Source organism: Homo sapiens, chromosome 12 (genome assembly GCF_000001405.40).
Source record: "Homo sapiens chromosome 12, GRCh38.p14 Primary Assembly".
Lineage (NCBI taxonomy): Eukaryota > Metazoa > Chordata > Mammalia > Primates > Hominidae > Homo > Homo sapiens.
Genome location: NC_000012.12, coordinates 53250223 through 53267914, shown reverse-complemented (window position 1 = coordinate 53267914; position 17692 = coordinate 53250223). Strand labels below are relative to the sequence as shown.

Here is a 17692-nt window from a genome sequence, read left to right as displayed (position 1 = left end):
TTGATAGGGTCTTGCTCTGACACACAGGCTGGAGTGCAGTGGCGTGATCACAGCTCACTGCAGCTTCAAACTCCCGGGCTTAAGTGATCCTCCCACCTCAGCCTCCCAAAGTGCTGACTACGGGCGTGCACCGCCACGCCCAACTTCCTACGAAATTATTTTAAAGATGGTTTTCTAGGGGAACTACAATGAGTACCCGTAGCGACCTCCAGCTCTCTCTCTGCCTTCCAGCCTTACTCCTTCTATTGGTTGTATGAGAAAGACAAGATCTGGTGCTCTTCGATGGGGGAGAGAGGGTAGTGGGGTGGGGTGGGAGTTGTGAGTAGCAGGAAGAACTATGGAAATTCATTCCCTGGGATATTTCACAGTCTTTAATGGCTTATGTTTTTAAGTACTAACCACTTCCCCAAACACAGATTCAGCTGTCTCTTTCCTTCCTCCACCAAAGAATTCAGCTCAAAAGTGGTTATCAGCTTGTCGCTGATGAACTCTACTGGATAACTCATCCTTCTCCATCATCATAGAGCTCTTTTATGAGTTGAGAATCTAGCAGGGAAGATTATTTTTGTAAAAAGAAAGAAAAGAAGGCCGGGCGCGGTGGCTCACGCCTATAATCCCAGCACTTTAGGAGGCCGAGGTGGGTGGATCACTTGAGAACCAGCCTGACCAACATGGTGAAACCCCATCTCTACTAAAAATACAAAAATTAGCTGCTGTGGCATCGGGGGCCTGTAGTCCCAGCTACTTGGGAGGATCGCTTGAACCCGGGAAGCGGAGGTTGCAGTGAGCTGAGATCCCGCCACTGTACTGCAGTCTGGGTGACAGAGCAAGACTCTGTCTCAAAAAAGAAAACCAAAAAAAAGGCCGGGCGCGGTGGCTCACGCCTGTAATCCCAGCACTTTGAGAGACCGAGGCGGGCGGATCACGAGGTCAGGAGATCGAGACAATCCTGGCCAACATGGTGAAACCCCGTCTCTACTAAAAATACAAAAAATTAGCCGGGCGTGGTTGCAGGCTCCTGTAGTCCCAGCTACTCGGGAGGCTGCGCTAGGAGAACGGCGTGAACCCGGGAAGCGGAGCTTGCAGTGAGCCAAGATCGCGCCACTGCACTCCAGCCTGGGCTACAGAGCGAGACGACTCTGTCTCAAAAAAAAAAAAACCAAAAAACAAACAAACAAACAAAAAAAACCCAAAAGAAAATTATTCATCACAGTACTCAATTCCTCTTGCTTACACCTTAGCTATCAGTGTTCATTTACCTATTGTTTAGCAAGCATTCTAGGACTTTTTCCCAACGTATTTTATTATACCTACTTTTTTCTTCTTTTTTTAAGATAGAAACGAGGTCTCACTATGATGCCCAGGTTGGTCTTGAACTCCTGAGCTCAAGTGATCCTCCGGCCTTAGCCTCTCAATGTGCTACAATTACAGGCGTGAGCCACTATGCCCAGCCTTTTTTTTTTTTTTTTTTTGAGACGGAGTTTCGCTCTTGTCACCCAGGCTAGAGTGCAATGGCGTGATCTCAGCTCACTGCAACCTCTGCCTCCGGGTTCAAGTGATTCTCCTGCCTCAGCCTCCCAAGTAGCTGGGATTACAGGCACCCATCACCATGCCCAGCTAATGTTTTGTATTTTTAGTAGGGACGGAGTTTCACCATGTTGGCCAGGCTGGTCTCAAACTCCTGACCTCAAGTGATCCACCTGCCTCAGCCTCCCAAAATGCCGGGATTACAAGCATGAGCCACCGTGCCTGGCCATGCCCAGCCTATCATACCTACTTAATTCTAAACTCCTCAAGGGCAGAGAGCTTATTATTTTTTATTTCTTGTTTGTTTGTTTTTTGTTTTGCTTTTGTTTTCTTTTTTCTTTTTTATTTTCTACTTCTTACAAGAAGTACTTTAAGTATCAACAGATCAATAAATGCTGACTAATACGAACTTGAGTCACATTATTTCCTCATGTGAATCACAAACTTATAGAGGCAGCACAGGATGATGGAAAGAGCTTTGAAAATGAGACAGGACAGAGGAGCCAGGTTCTAGTGCCAGTTCTAATTTGTTCCTTCTCAGTGAAATGGGGACAGTAACATCAAGCCTCACTACCTCCAGGAGTTCTTTTAGCCTCAAATAGAAGAAGGCCTCAGATAGCCTTGAAGACCCTAACGATGATGGCAGTCATTAAAAAACGTGTGGCGCGGTGACTCAGGTCTGTAATCCCAGCACTTTGGGAGACTGAGGCGGGTGGATCACGAGGTCAGAAGATTGAGACCATCCTGGCTAACACAGTGAAACCCCGTCTCTACTAAAAATACAAAAAAATTAGCCGGGCGCAGTGGTGGGCGCCTGTAGTCCCAGCTACTCGGGAGGCTGAGGCAGGAGAATGGCGTGAACCTGGGAGGCAGAGTTTGCAGTGAACTGAGATCGCGCCACTGCACTCCAGCCTGGGCGATAGAGCGACACTCTGTCTTAAAAAAAAAAAAACAAAAAAAAAACATGTTTTGGCCAGGAATAGTGGCTTACACCTATAATCCCAACGCTTTGGGAGGCCGAGGTGAGAGGATCCCTTGAGCCCAGGAGTTTGAGACCAGCCTGGGCAACATAGTGGGACCCTGTCTCTACCAAAAATAAATAAATAAATAAATAATAGCTGGATGTGATGGTGCATGCCTAACATCCCAGCTACTCAGGAGGCTGAGGCTGGGAGGAGGCTGAGGCAGGAGGATTGCTTGAGCCCAGGACTTCAAGGATGTAGTGAGCTATGATTTCACTTGAGAATAGCCACTGCACTCCAGGCTGGCCAACATAGCAGGAACCCAGCTCAAAAAAAATAAAGCATGAGGCCAAGCGCGGTGGCTCACGCCTGTAATCCCAGCACTTTGGGAGGCCGAGGCGGGCGGATCACCTGAGGTCAGGAGTTCGAGACCTGCCTGACTAACATGGTGAAACCCCATCTCTAATAAAAATACAAAAAAATTAGCCGGGTATAGTGGTGGGCACCTATAATCCCAGCTACTTCGGAGGCTGAGGCAGGAGAATCGCTTGAACCCGGGAGGCAGAGGTTGCAGTGAGCCGAGATCATGCCATTGTACTCCAGCCTGGAGTGAGACCCTGTCTCAAAAAAAAAAAAATTAGCCAGGCATGGTGGTGGGCACCTGTAATCCCAGCTACTTGGGAGGTTGAGGCAGGAGAATCGCTTGAACCCAGAGGTGGAGGTTGCAGTGAGTTGCGATTGTGCCATTGCACTCTAGCCTGTGTGACAAGAGCGAGACTCCATCTCAAAAAAAAAAAAAAAATTGGCCAGGCGCGGTGGCTCACGCCTGTAATCCCAGCACTTTGGGAGGCCAAGGTGGGTGGATCACGAGGTCAGGAGATTGAGACCATCTAGGCTAACACGGTGAAATCCCATCTCTACTAAAAATACAAAAAATTAGCCGGGCGTGGTGGCGGGCGCCTGTGGTCCCAGCTACTTGGGAGGCTGAGGCAGGAGAATGGCGTGAACCTGGGAGGCGGAGCTTGCAGTGAGCCAAGGGCCATCGTGCCACTGCACTCCAGCCTGGGCGACAGAGCGAGACTCCATCTCAAAAATAAATGAATAAGTAAATAAATAAATAAATAATAGCAAATATACACCATGGACTACTATGCAGCCATACGAAACGATGAGTTCACGTCCTTTGCAGGGACATGGATGAAGCTGGAAACGATCATTCTTAGTAAACTAACACAAGAACAGAAAACCAAACACCGCATGTTCTCACTCATAGTGGGAGTTGAACAATGAACACATGGACACAGGGAGAAGAGCATCACACACGGGGTCCTGTTGAGGGATGGGTGGCTAGGGGAGGGATAGCATTAGGAGAAATACTTAATGTAAATGACGGGTTGATGGGTGCAGCAAACCACCATGTTACGTGTATACCTATGTAACAAACCTGCACGTTCTGCACGTGTATCCCAGAACTTAAAGTATAATAAAATAACAATAAAATAAAAAAGCATGTCCTATATCAAGCATATCATCATATAAAGATGTCAGAGATGCATGAATGACTGTTACAGTCTTCCTGTGGACTTTTAAGGAAAGAAAAATAAGATATATAAAAAACAAGTTGCAGAAAAATATGAACGGTATGATCCAATTTTTGTTAAAAAAAAAGAAAAAAGAAAAAAGACTGGCCAGGTGTAGTGGCTCGCACCTGTAATCTCAGGACTTTGGGAGGCTAAGGCAGGCGGATCACTGGAAGCCAGGAGTTCAAGACCAGCCTGGCCATCATGGCAAAACCCTATCTCTACTAAAAATACAAAAATGAACTGGGTGTAGTAGCTTATGCCTGTAATCCCAGCTACTTGGGAGGCCGAGGCACAAGAATTTCTTCATCCCGGGAGGCAGAGGTTGCAGTGAGCCGAGAATACACCACTGCACTCCGCCTGAGTGACAGAGTGAGTAGAGTGAGATTCTGTCTAAAAAAAAAAAGCTTTGATATTAAATCTGCTGCTGGTCTAGACCCAAAACATTTAATAGTAGTAATCTCTGATGAGCAGGATTAAGGGAGCCTGTCATTTTTTACGTTTTATATTTCTACATGCATATATGTATATTTAAAGTACAGTTGACTCTTGAACAATATGGGCTTGAACTGCACAGGTGAACTTACGTGAGGATTTTCTTCCACTTCTGCCACTGCTGCGATAATAAGACCAACCCTTCCTCTTCCTCCTCCTCATTCTACTCAATGTGAAGACAACGAAGATGATGATCTGCTTCCACTTAATGAGTAGTAAACATATTTTCCTTATGATAAGAGTCCTTATGATTTTCTTTTTTCTTTTTTGAGACAGAGTCTCACTCTTTTTTCTAGGCTCGAGGGCAGTGGCACACACAATCTCTGCACACTGTAACCTCTGCCTCCTGGGCTCAAGCAATTCAGCTGCCTCAGCCTCCCAAGTAGTTGGGATTACAGGCATCAGCCACCATGCCCAGCTAATTTTTTTGGTATTTTTTGTAGAGATGGAGTTTTGTCATGTTGGCCAGTCTCGAACTCCTGCCCTTGAGTCATCCGCTCACCTTGGCCTCCCAAAGAGCTGGGATTACAGGCATGAGCCACCTTGCCTGGCATATGATTTTCTTAATAACATGTTCTTGGCCAGGTGCAGTGGCTCACGCCTGTAATCCCAGCACGCTGGGTGGCTGAGGTGGATGGATCACGAGGTCAGGAGTGCAAGACCAGCCTGGCCAACATGGTGAAACCTGTCTCTACTAAAAATACAAAAATTAGCCGGGCTTGGTGGTGGGCACCTGTAATCCCAGCTACTCGGCAGGCTGAGGCAGGAGAATTGCTTGAACCTGGGAGGCGGAGGTTGCAGTGAGCCGAGATCACACCACTGCCCTCCAGCCTGGGTGACAGCAAGACTCCGTCTCGAAAATATATATATAAGGCTGGGCGCGGTGGCTCATGCCTGTAATCCCAGCACTTTGGGAGGCCGAGGCAGGTGGATCACGAGGTCAGGAGATCGAGACCATCCTGGCTAACACGGTGAAACCCCATCTCTACTAAAAAATACAAAAAAAATAGCCGGGCGTGGTGGCGGGGGCCTGTAGTCCCAGCTACTCGGGAGGCTGAGGCAGGAGAATGGCATGAACCCGGGAGGCGGAGCTTGCAGAGAGCCGAGATTGCGCCACTGCACTCCAGCCTGGGCGACAGAGCGAGACTCCGTCTCAAAAAAAGAAAAAAATATATATTGTAAGGATATAGAATATCATACATATTACGGAATATGTATTAATTGGCTGTTTATACGATTTATTGGTAAGGCTTCAGGTCAACAGTAGGCTATTAGTAGCTAGGTTTTTAGGAAGTCAAAAGTTATACGTGGTCAGGCTCATGGTGGCTCACGCCTGTAATCCCAGTACTTTGGGAGGCCGAGGTGGGCAGATCACCTGAGGTCAGGGGTTCGTGACTAGCCTGGCCAACATGCTGAAACCCCATCTCTACTAAAAATACAAAAATAGCCAGGTGTGGTGGTGCATGCCTGTAATCTCAGCTACTCGGGAGGCTGAGGCAGGAGAATCGCTTGAACCCAGGAGGCGGAGGTTGCAGTGAGCCAAGATTGTGCCACTGCACTCCAGCCTGGACGACAGAGTGAAACTCCCTCTCAAAAAAAAAAAAAAAAAAAAAGGCCAGGCACGGTGGCTCACGCCTGTAAGCCCAGCTCTTTGGAGACTGAGGCAGGTGGATCACTTGGCCAACTTGCCAAAACCCCGTCTCTACTAAAAATACAAAAATTAGCCGGGCGTGGTGGCACACACCTGTAATCCCAGCTACTCGGGAGGCTGAGGCAGAAGAATCGCTTGAAGCTGGGAGGTGGAGGTTGCAGAGTCAGGATCACACCGTTGCACTCCAGCTGGGCAACAGAGAGAGAGTCTGTCTTAGAAAAAAAAAAGTTATACACAATCACTGGGCATGGTGGCTTGCATCTATAATCCCAGCTACTTGGGAGGCAGAGGCAGGAGGATCACTTGAGGCCAGAAGTTTGAGACCTAAGCAACATAGCAAGACTCCATCTCTATAAAAAATTTAAAACTTAGCTAGGCATGGTTGCTCCAATGCCTGTAGTCATAGCTACTCAGGAGGCTGAGGTGGGAGGATTGCTTGAGCCCAGGAGTTTAAGACTCCCATGAGCTATGACCTTGCCACTGCACTCCAGTCTGGGCAACAGAATGAGACTCCATCTCTAAAAAAACTAAAGTGGCTGAGCGCGGTGGCTCGCACCTGTAATCCCAGCACTTTGGGAGGCTGAGGCAGGTAGATCACCTGAGGTCAGGAGTTCGAGACCAGCCTGACCAACAAGGTGAAACCCCATCTCTACTAAAAATACAAAAATTTTGCTGGACGTGGTGGCGTGCACCTGTAGTCCCAGCTACTTGGTAGGATGAGACAGAAGAATTGCTTGAACACAGGAGGCGAAGGTTGCAGTGAGCTGAGATCATGCCATTGCACTCCAGCCTGGGTGACAGGGTGAGACTGTCTCAAAAAAATAAATAAATAAAAATTTTTTTAAAATGTAAAAATTAGCCTGTAATCCCAGCACTTTGGGAGGCCGAGGCGGGTGAGTCATGAGGTCAGGAGATCGAGACCATCCTGGCTAATACGGTGAAACCCCATTTCTACTAAAAATATAAAAAATTAGCTGGGCATGGTGGCGGGAGCCTTTAGTCCCAGCTACTTGGGAGGCTGAGGCAGGAGAATGGTGTGAACCCAGGAGGCGGAGCTTGCAGTGAGCCAAGGTCGGGCCACTGTACTCCAGCCTGGGCGACAGAGCAAGACTCCATCTCAAAAAAAAAAAAAAAGTGAAAAATTAAAGTAAGTTTAAAGAATTATCTTCAGGCCAGGCACAGTGGCTCACACCTGTAATTCCAACATTTTGGGAGGCTGAGGTGGGAGGACTGCTTGAGCTCAAGGGTTCGAGACTAGCCTGGGTCACATAGTGAGACCATCTTCTCTACAAAAAAAAAAAAAAAAAAAAATTAGCTAGGTGTGGTGGTGTGCACCTGTAGTCCCAACTACTCAGAGGTGGGAGGACTGCTTGAGCCCAGGAGGTCGAGGCTGCAGTGAACTGTTATCGTGCCACTGCACTCTAGCCTGGGTGACATAAGACCTTGTCTTAAAACGAAAAAGAAAAAAAATGAATTATTTTCAGAGGCAGCAACAGAAGGCAAAAAAAAAAAAAAAATGCCAAGCACGGTGGTGTTTGAGTAGTCCCAGCCAGTCTGGAGGCTGAGGTGGAGGTGGGAGGATCACTTGAGCTCAGCAGTTGGAGGCCAGCCTGGGTGACATAGCAAGATTCAGTCTCAAGAAAAAGCCGGGCATGGTGGCTCACTCCCGTAACCCCAGCACTTTGGGAGGCCAAGGTGGGCGGCTCACTTGAGATCAGGAGTTTGAGACCAGCCTGGCCAACATGGTGAAACCCCATCTCTACTAAAAATGCAAAAATTAGTCAGGCATGATGGCGCACACCTTGTAGTCCCAGTTACTGGGGAGGCAGAGGTAGGAGAATTGCTTGAATCCAGGAGGCTGAGGCTGCAGTGAGCCAAAATTGTGCCACTGCCCTCCAGCCTGGGTGAAAGAGGGAGGCCCTGTCCCCCCCAAAAAAAAAAAGAAAAAGCCATACTCAGATTTTGAACTGCGCCATGGGTCAGTGGCTTGCTGTTGTTCAAGCGTCAACTATATATTTATATAGCAATACAAATATATGTATTTTAATATACTACTATAACGTAATTAGCACATACTGATATTCACATATGTATATAAAATATGCATTTCTGTATTTGCATTTGACCATTTTACAATGAGACCATATAACTTTATGAAAAAAACAGTTAAAGTAAATGTGAGGTATTTTTATAACATCAGATCTGATCTCAAGCATGACATTTGTTTGTGTTACATTTCCAATCTGTGGTTCTATGGGGAGGTAGTGGCAGCAAATAATAAAAAGGGCAGGAAAACCACAGGATTGGGGTTAGGGGAAGAGCGATAAGGAGAGGACCTAGACTCAGCTGACCATTAGCCGGGAACAGCCCCCTCCCCTCCCAGGGCAGGGACTGAATTTCCAGGAAGAGGTCATCCTCCAGGCCTCAGAACCCTGTACTGTCTTCCTGCCCCAGTCCTCCTGCCTCCTCGTTCATTGGCTCCTGGGTCCCCAGGATGTTTCTCTTTTCTCCTCAGGATCGCTTAAAAGCTCCAGATCAAATAATCATGTTTCCAGCTGGATGGAAATTCAGAAAATCAGGAGCCTCTTAGTGAAAGATGGTGGTTGTATCCAGTCTAACCCCAAGCTGACTTTCCCACTAGAGGAAGAGGAAATGAGTTCAAGTGGAACACATTGACACCCAGCTCAGATGCTCACATATCCCAGAGTAGAAGCCTTCTCAAATAGCTCGATAATTCCATCTGGGCCAGTACTGAGGATAAACGCTGCTGGGAATCCCCCAATCACTAAGATGCATTGGGAAGTTCTACACCCCATTACAGTCCTGTCCACTCATTCCCACACTCAAATCTAGATAGGCTCAGCTGGATTGGAGAAGTTAAAAAATAAAATATAAAAGCAAACACTTATGTAGTGCTTATACTGTGGGCCAAATACTGTTCTAAGCACTTAAGTACAATGACGCATTTAATCCTCACAAGAACCCTTAGGGGTTGAAACTATACTATCCTCCCCATTTCACAGATGAGGAAACTGAGGCACAGAGTTGTGGAGCCAGATTCAAACCAGGCAGTTGGGCTTTTTTTTTTTTTTTTTTTGAGATGGAGTTTCACTCTTGTTGCCCAGGCTGGAGTGCAATGAATGGCATGATGGCATGATCTCGGCTCACTGCAACCTCCGCCTCCAGGGTTCAAGCGATTCTCCTGCTTCAGCCTCCCGAGTAGCTGGGATTACAGGCGCCCACCACCATGCCTGGCTAATTTTTGTATTATCATAGAGACGGGTTTCACCATGTTGGCCAGGCTGGTCTCGACTCCTGACCTCTGGTGATCCACCTGCCTTGGCCTCCCAGAGTGCTGGGATTACAGGAGTGAGCCACTGTGCCCGGCCAGATCCACATTTTTTTTTTCCAGGTGGAGTCTCCCTCTGTCGCCCAGGCTGGAGTGCAGTGGTGCGACCTTGGCTCACTGCAAGCTCCACCTCCCGGGTTCATGCCATTCTTCTCCCTCAGCCTCCCAAGTAGCTGGGACTACAGGCGCCCACCACCACAACTGGCTAATTTTTTGTATTTTTAGTAAAGACAGGGTTTCACCGTGTTAGCCAGGATAGTCTTGATCTCCTGACCTCATGATCCGCCCGCCTTGGCCTCCCAAAGTGCTGGGATTACAGGTGTGAGCCACCGCACCCGGCCCTCAGATCCACATTTTTAATCACTTCCCTATGGGGCCTCTTGGTGGAGCATCATGAGCAGCATTTCGCAGGGAGTATGCACCTGGTGAACCAGTCCCTCATTTGAATAATCTGGATAGATACCCCTAAGTGGATCAGACAGCCAAATACTCCTACTCTCTTGCTGTTCTCCAGGGACAGAGCTTTGGGTGGGGAAGCAGGGCTGGAGGCTAAAAAAACAGGTAAGTGAAGTCCCATGGGACAGAGGCAGCATGTGTCATAGAGGGGGCACTGGGTTGGCAAAAAGAGGCAAGGTTTAGTCTTAGTTTTATCACTCACTTGCTACATGCCCTTAGGCAAGTTATTTGCTTTCTTTAAGTGGATTTTCCTCTTGGGTAAAATAAATAAATAAATAAATAAATAAATAAATAAGGCCAGGTGTGGTGGCTCACGCCTGTAATCCCAGCACTTTGGGAGCCTGAGGCGGGTGGATCACGAGGTCAAGAAATCAAGACCATTCTGGCCAACATGGTGAAATCTCGTCTCTACTAAAAATTAACTGGGTGCGGTGGGGTGTGTCTGTAGTCCCAGCTACGCGGGAGGCTGAGGCAGGAGAATCACTTGAACCTCGGAGCCGAGATGGTGCCACTGCACTCCAGCCTGGCAATACAGCGAGACTCCATCTCAAAAAAATAAATAAATAGGCCGGGCACGGTTGCTCATGCCTGTAATCCCAGCACTTTGGGAGGCCAAGGCGGGTGGATCATGAGGTCAGGAGTTTGAGACCAGCATGGCCAAGATGGTGAAACCCTGTCTCTACTAAAAATACAAAAATTAGCTAGGCGTGGTGGTGCACGCCTGTAGTCCCAGCTACTTGGGAGGCTGAGGCAGAATTGCTTGAACCTGGGAGGTAGAGGTTGTGGTGAGCCGAGATTGTGCCACTGCACTCCAGCCTGGGTGACAAGAGCGAAACTCCATCTTAAAAAATAAAATAAAATAAAATAATAAATAAAAATATCACCAGTACCTAGCGGTAAAACACACGGCATAGCAGGTGCTCAATAAAAAATGTTTAAGGCCAAATGGATAATCTCTAAGATGCCTTCCAGCTCTTAACACGCTGTGAGTCTGACAGGAAAGAACACTCTCCACTCTATTTGCCACCAGCCCCTTTGAAGCAAGCTCATCAGGGACAAAGCTAAAGGAATCTCATTAGTCTCCCCTACCCCTCTATTTCCATATCACTTAGGAATGTGAGGGCCACTAATAATTACTGTCAGGCCAGGTGTGGTGGCTCACACCTGTAATCCCAGCACTTTGGGAGGCTGAGAAGGGAGGATGGCTTGAACCCAGGAGTTTCAGATGAGCCTGGGCAACATAGACCCTTGTCTCTACAAAAATTTTTAAAAAATTAGCTGGGTATGGTGGTGCTGCCTGTAGTCCCTACTACTTGGGAGGCTAAGGTGGGAGGATCGCTTGAGCCCAGGAGGTCGAGGCTGCAGTGAGCCATGATCCTGCCACTACACTCTGGCCTAGGCGACAGAGCGAGACCCTATCTCAAAAACAAAATAAAACAAAAACCGATAATAATGATATTGTCATCCAAAACAACAAATCACCAAGTGTCTCCTGAAAAGCCAGGTGTGAGCTAGCCTGTCTCCTCTCCAGATATGTACTGAGCACAGCCATGGGGAAAGCATCCAATTGTGTGTATATATGCAGGAGATAAAGGTGAGTAAGACTGTTTCCTCTTCCCCTCAAGATCATAGCATGATCTTGAGACGGAACATCTACAAATAACTATAAAGTATATCTAGGTCTAGCCCAACAGGGCAGAAAGAGGAAGTGGAGTTATTGCAAGACTGTCTTTAGTCTTGAGATGATGGGTGGCAGGAGTAGGGGGGTAGTAGAAAAGATGCCTTTTCTTTTTTTTTGTTTTTTGAGACAGTCTCATTCTGTTGCCCAGGCTGGAGTGCAGTGGCGTGTCTCAATTATCACTCACTGCAGCCTCGATCTCCCAGGCTCAATTGATCCTCCCACCTCAGCCTCCCAAGTAACTCAGACCATGGGCACATGCCACTACGCACAGCTAATTTTTGTATTTTTTGTAGAGACGGGGTTTCGCCGTGTTGCCCAGGCTGGTCTCAAACTCCTGGGCCTCCCAAAGTGCTGGGATTACAGGTGTAAGTCACCACACCTGGCTGATATGTGTTTTTCTTACTTAACCTCAACCTCTATTCCCTGAAGCCTGGGTGGGGGAACATGTTTTTTCCTAGTCTGAGTAGGGACCTGAGACCACCACCCATTCCTCCCCTTGGCCTCACCCTGCAGAAGCCCTTCCACCCTGCATTCCACCAGCACCTGCTGATGCTATCTCTCCACACAGGTTGGGACCTGCAGGTCTTGGAACATCCTGCATCTTTCTGAGTAGTCTGGGACCCAAGGAAAGGTCATTAACCCCTTTCCAGAAAGGGTATGTGTCCCCCATGCCCATCTCAAGCACATTCCAGGACACATCCTTGAGCCTACCCTCCTTCCCTCCCCACCCTTCTTAAAGCTGGCTGTGCTTCCCCTGAGAAGCCCAGGTTTTGGTGGGAGGAGGAAAGGCAGATACAATCAGAGGTGAGGCAGGGAGGCACCCACAGAACTGGCTCACTAGTACTGTTTCCTGCCCTGATGGCTCCCTCACCCTCATTCAGGCTGGGTTGGGGACAGTCAGGTACAGATAAGACATCCTAGTCCCTCAGCCATGCACCACTCTGTCCCCTTGGCAGCCTTTCACTTCGGTTTCACACAGGGATACAGGATCTGGTAGACCCAGATGATGTTGGACAAATGGTGCATTCATAGCCACAGAGGCAAAAGGGAGGCAGCAGGCCTGTGCTGAGCTGCAAGCTTACTTTGGTAGGAAGGGCCCTGGCTTTGCCCAAGGAGTGGTCACAGCAGCAGCCCAAGCCCCTGGAATCTTTGCTCAGTGGCCTGGCATATGGGGCATCTACTCCATGTGCTCTGGAGATCATCTTACCCTGGATGTAAGCAAGGGTTCTGCTTGACAACTGGGGGGAGTGCCTGTCCCACAACAGAGGAATGTGGAGGACCTAGAAGCCTCAGGCCCTTCCCACACAGCTCTGCTGAGAGCAATTCCATAGTTCTCAGTTTGAACTGGAGACAGCCTTGGAGAAGTTAGAAACAGAAAACTTTTGCTGATAATCCCACCTCAAAACCTCTAGCTGGGCTGGGCGTGGTGGCTCATGCCTGTAATCCCAACACTTTGGGAGGCCGAGGTGGGTGGATCACCTGAAGTGAGGAGTTCGAGACCAGCCTGGTCAACATGAAACCCCATCTCTATTAAAAATACAAAAATTAGCTGGGCATGGTAGCAGGCACATGTAATCCCAGCTACTTGGGAGGCTGAAGCAGGAGAATTGCTTGAATCCGGGAGGCGGAGGTTGCAGTGAGCCAAGATCGCGCCATTGCACTCCAGCCTGGGCGACAGAGCAAGACTCCGTCTCAAAACAAAAACAAACAAAACAAAACAAAAAAAAACTAAAAAAAAAACCTCTAGCTGCCCACTCACCAGAAACTACTGATAAGGCTACAGGTAAGGATGAGTAAATCAAATCAATGATCATTTAAAAGTGTTTATTTTCTAAATGGGAGTAACACAGAGGGAACTTTTGGCACCTTCTTTCCAGTCCATCACCCCCATCATGTCCTCCCAAACACAAAGCAATGGCAGGAGAAACCACAGGACAGTCACAAAGTCAGTCACAGAGAGATCTGTACAATCCCGGATAGCTGGAATTCAAGAGTCTGTCCCAGCTATCTTGTCCTGGAGTGGGGTTACAGCTCAGGGGCATAGGGCTCCTCAGTAGGTGAAGGTACCCGCAGCTCAGCATCATGCCTTACCACGGTGAAGAGTCCCACCACTGCCAGCAGAGCCATCACCATGACAGCAGAGCAAATGCTGAACATATTCCGAGTGCCTGTTTTTCGATCACTGTCATGGAGGACAAGGAGCCCTAGGCAAGCCAGTGAGTGCAGAGGTACCCGGAACCAGTTGAGTACACCAGCCTGCTCTGTCTCAGGGATCACCTTTCTCCGTAGGAAGCTCATGCTGGGAAAGTATAATCCACAAGCCAACTCAATAAGTAGAAAGGCTATGAAGGACTCCACCGGACTCTCCTGGCCTGGGCTGGTAGAGAAAGTCAACATGAAGAGAGAGAAGACGACGATGAGCACAGCAAGGGACAGCAGGTGCATGGGCTGAAGGTGGTACCTCTTGGAGGTGGCGATACGGTACAGGGAAGAGCCAAGCAGGCTGGCTGCCATGAAGCTGGAGAAGATAATGCCCAGAGGGGCCCCGTGTGGGTCCAGCACAGGTGTCCAGAGGAAGACAAAGATGAAGATGACACTCTCAAATAGAGCTTGTATGGTGCCCAACAGCAGCACGCGGCGGTCCGACAGGAGGCAGCGCAGGCCTCCAGCACAGGTCCTTGAGAAGGCACGCTGCCGGTCATAGTTCTCCCCCCAGTTTCGAAGGGCCAAGGCCCCTGCCAGAGCCAGGAGAGGGATGGCAGCCACAAAGGGCGCTACAGGCCCCAGCCCTATCCAGCTGGCTACAGCCTCAGCTGCCACACCTGCCACTACAGCCAGCACATGGTTCCAGAAGGCAGCTCGAGCAAAGGTAGCTGGGATCCACTCAGCAGGGAAGTCATGCCGTTCCACGTGCTCATGGATATACCAGGCCTCGAAGGCTGAGAAGAGCAGGGCTGTGGACAGCCCACCAAGTGCTCGCCCCACTAGCAGCACAAAGTAGTCTTGAGAGAGTTTGGTTAAGCAGCATAGTGAGTAAGTCAGGGAGAAGAGGACACAAGAATTCTTGCGACCCAGCCAATCCACAAGGGAGGAGGCCACTAGGCCAAAGAGGACTGTAGAGGCAAGGCCACAGACATAGAGGATGGCAATTTGACCTTCCAGGAAGTAGTAATGCTGGTAGAGTTTATAGAGGTAGGGGGCCTGAAGCCAATCAGCTGCCAGGGCCAGGAAGTAGACCTGATAGAAGTCCAGTTGAAACCGAAGGAAGGAGGGATTGCTGCAGGCCCTTCCAGGGGGTTTAGCCCGGCATCTTGACAGTTCCAGCCCCAGGCAGGAGGCCAGGAGGCCTACAAAAGCAAGGTAGGCAGTCACCAGCATGGTGGGCCCCCGGACGACCTGGGAAGAGAGGTGGGAGTCAGAGCCATATCCATCCTTCGGGCAGCACGGTCAAGGGGCTGTCTTAAGCAGATGGCAGCTCCACCCAACCCCGCTGCCAACTCCACTCCCCAAGATCTCAGACCGGAGGGACCAGTTGGGTGGGTGGGAGGAGTGGCCACGCCAAAGCTGTCTCCTAGGACACTGTGGGGCAGGGAGGGGTAAGAAGACAGGGGAGAGGACTGGGCACTCAACCCATCCTTGCCTGTGAAGAGGGAGTCCCTTTCAATAATCCCGCTCCCGCAAATTCTACTGCCCTTTCCCACAGCAGCTCCCGTACACTTCCTTCTATTACCTCCCGTCCTCGCTGCGGAGCCTCTTTTTGCCCTCAGTGTCTCATCCTCTGTCCCGGGCATCCCTCCCACCCGCGCAGGCCTCTCGAGTTGCTTCAGGGTCATGCGTGTGCATCTCAGAGGCCCACTCCTCCAGGTCACTGGCACCCCACTGCGCCCCCTAGCCCCTGCCCAGCCCTGCCACATCCACTTGCACCTCGCCCAGACTCCGCCTCACCTGCTGCCCCGGTCTGCGGGGACGCCCCGGACACGTCCGGCTCCAGGCCGCCAGGCCACCCTCCCCGCTGTGGCTCCGGCTCCGGCTCGGGTTCCAGCAGCGCTCCCGCCCCTCACAGCCTGCTTCCGGGAGCCGGGCAGGCCTCTGGCCGCCGCCATGATGGCTTCATCACGTGACGGGGGCGCGGCGCCAAAACCCCGCCCCGCCCCGCCCGCCCGCCCTCCTTCCCTTACCCGGGCGCGGAACTCCTGACGCCTGGGGTGGGTCGGGAAGGGGCGACCATAGGAGGCTGCGGTTGCTTCTCCTGGCCTGGCCTCGCTCGCTGCCATCCCGTGACACCTGCTCCTCTGGCTCTTGGATGCCTGAGGGGCCACCCTGAAATAAGTGCCAATTTTCTTTTCTTCCGTGCAGTGCTCGGGAAAGATGCCCGCAGTCCGGTAGAGCCAAGGGTTGGAGCTTCCTAAGGAACAGCACCGCTGCCCGAAGCCGAGAAGGTCTCCTTGGTTTGCCTCCTCTCCCACTGCAGTGACCTCCATGCAAGAGAAGCCAGTATGGTCCAGACACCTGAGGGAGGCGGTGTGGTGTAAAGAACTTGGAGTCGGGCTGCAGACAGACTAAGGCGCAGTCCTGCCCCTGTCACTTACCAGCTGTGTGGCCTTGGGCAAGCCGCATAACTTCCCAGTGTCCCAGTTTCTTTGAAGTCACAGGATAGCAATGCCCAAATAAAGAAGGCTAAAGTTCAGTGGCAGCATGGGGTTAAGAACTTCAGCCTTGGAGCTTAATTCCCTACCTTCTGCCACTTACAAGCTGTTTTACCTTGGAAAAACTATTTAACCTCTCTACAGCTTCCGTATCATCTCCTCAAGAGCCTCCAATGACTTCCCATCTCACTAAGGGTAAAAGCCGAAGTATTTATAATGGCCTACAAGACCCTCTGTCCTCTGACCCTCTGCCACTCCTCTGACTTCATCCCCTGCTCCTCTCCCTCCCATCTATGTTGGCTACCACCAGGGCTTTTGCACACTGTTCCCTGTACAGTTCTTCTCCAAGATATCCACGTGGTTCCCCCCCCCACCTCCTCCAGTTCTCTGTTCAAATGTCACCTGATCTTGGCTGGGCCTGGTGGCTCATTCCTGTAATCCCAGCAGTTTAGGAGGCTGAGGCAGGCCGATCAGTTGAGGTCAGGAGTTCAAGATCAGCCTGGCCAACATGGTGAAACCCCGTCGCTAGTAAAAAAATATAAAAATTAGCCAGGCATGGTGGTGGGCACCTGTAATCCCACCTACTCGGGAGGCTGAGGCAGGAGAATCGCTTGAACCAGGGAGGCAGAGGTTGCAGTGAGCCAAGATCACGCCACTGCACTCCAGTCTGGGTGACAGAGCGAGACTCTGTCTCACAAAAAAATAAAAAATAAAATAAAATTTTAAAAAATGTCACCTGATCAGAGGGGCCTTCCATGGCCCTCCTGTTTAAAATAGCAACACCACCACCTCCAGCACAGTAATCTACCTACTTTCCTTCCAATTTTCTATTCTCTCTGCTGCTTTTACTCTGCAGTACACTATGTATTTTCCTTGTTTATTTATTTACTATCTTGGCCAGGTGTGGTGGCTCACACCTGTAATCTCAACACTTTGAGAGGCCAAGGTGGGTGAATCACTTGAGGCCAGGAATTTAAGACCAGTCTGGCCAACATGTCGAAACCCCATGCCTACTAATAATACAAAAAATTGCTGGGCGCGGTGGCTCACACCTGTAATCCCAGCACTTTGGGAGGCCGAGGCGGGCGTATCATGAGGTCAGGAGTTCAAGACTAGCCTGGCCAATATGGCGAAACCCCGTCTCTACTAAAATTACAAAAAAATTTGCTGGGCATGGTGGTGTGCACCTGTAATCCCAGCTACTTTGGAGGCTGAGGCAGGAGAATTGCTTCAACCTGGGAGGCAGAGGTTGCGGTAAGCCGAGATTGCACCACTGCACTCCAGCCTGGGCAACAGAGCAAGACTCCGTCTCAAAACAAATAAACAAAAAAATTAGCTGGGCCTG

General features: G+C 49.8%; 1 protein-coding gene across 4 annotated transcripts, besides 5 other annotated features; it reads right to left on the bottom strand.

Moving 5' to 3' along the window:
* Positions 11470-11669: an enhancer, noted in NCBI's record as "active region_6406". NCBI's record gives its function as "activates an Ori minimal core promoter by ATAC-STARR-seq in GM12878 lymphoblastoid cells {active_cell/tissue: GM12878}" and the evidence as "EXISTENCE:reporter gene assay evidence [ECO:0000049][PMID:35858748]".
* Positions 13509-16718, bottom strand: SLC61A1 (solute carrier family 61 member 1). Of its 4 annotated transcripts, XM_005269197.2 has the most exons (3): positions 16291-16718; positions 15880-16210; positions 13509-15097 (listed from the first exon to the last, which is right to left on the bottom strand). In XM_005269197.2, the coding sequence occupies exons 2-3, from the start codon at positions 16180-16182 to the stop codon at positions 13727-13729; spliced, it is 1674 nt and encodes a 557-aa protein (XP_005269254.1). In that variant the 5' UTR covers positions 16183-16210; positions 16291-16718; the 3' UTR covers positions 13509-13726. The 4 variants fall into 4 exon arrangements, with proteins under 4 accessions (XP_005269254.1, NP_001164261.1, NP_116278.3 ...); NM_001170790.2 differs by having other exon boundaries at positions 15880-16329; NM_032889.5 differs by lacking the exons at positions 15880-16210; positions 16291-16718 and adding an exon at positions 15647-15820.
* Positions 15303-15974: an enhancer, noted in NCBI's record as "H3K27ac-H3K4me1 hESC enhancer chr12:53645725-53646396 (GRCh37/hg19 assembly coordinates)". NCBI's record gives its function as "activates a minimal SCP1, AML or CMV promoter by ChIP-STARR-seq in naive H9 embryonic stem cells {active_cell/tissue: H9 hESC(naive)}" and the evidence as "EXISTENCE:reporter gene assay evidence [ECO:0000049][PMID:30033119]".
* Positions 15498-15547: a silencer, noted in NCBI's record as "silent region_4503". NCBI's record gives its function as "represses an Ori minimal core promoter by ATAC-STARR-seq in GM12878 lymphoblastoid cells {active_cell/tissue: GM12878}" and the evidence as "EXISTENCE:reporter gene assay evidence [ECO:0000049][PMID:35858748]".
* Positions 15558-15837: a silencer, noted in NCBI's record as "silent region_4502". NCBI's record gives its function as "represses an Ori minimal core promoter by ATAC-STARR-seq in GM12878 lymphoblastoid cells {active_cell/tissue: GM12878}" and the evidence as "EXISTENCE:reporter gene assay evidence [ECO:0000049][PMID:35858748]".
* Positions 16108-16157: an enhancer, noted in NCBI's record as "active region_6405". NCBI's record gives its function as "activates an Ori minimal core promoter by ATAC-STARR-seq in GM12878 lymphoblastoid cells {active_cell/tissue: GM12878}" and the evidence as "EXISTENCE:reporter gene assay evidence [ECO:0000049][PMID:35858748]".
* Positions 16719-17692: the final 974 nt, after the last annotated feature.

Coding starts and splice junctions, on each gene's coding strand:
- SLC61A1 (XM_005269197.2), bottom strand. CDS start 16,182: ATGGAGGTCACTGCAGTGGGAGAGGAGGCAAACCAAGGAGACCTTCTC. Junction 15,098..15,879: donor GTCAGGAGTTCCGCGCCCGG/GTAAGGGAAGGA, acceptor CTCTCTTCCCAG/GTCGTCCGGGGGCCCACCAT.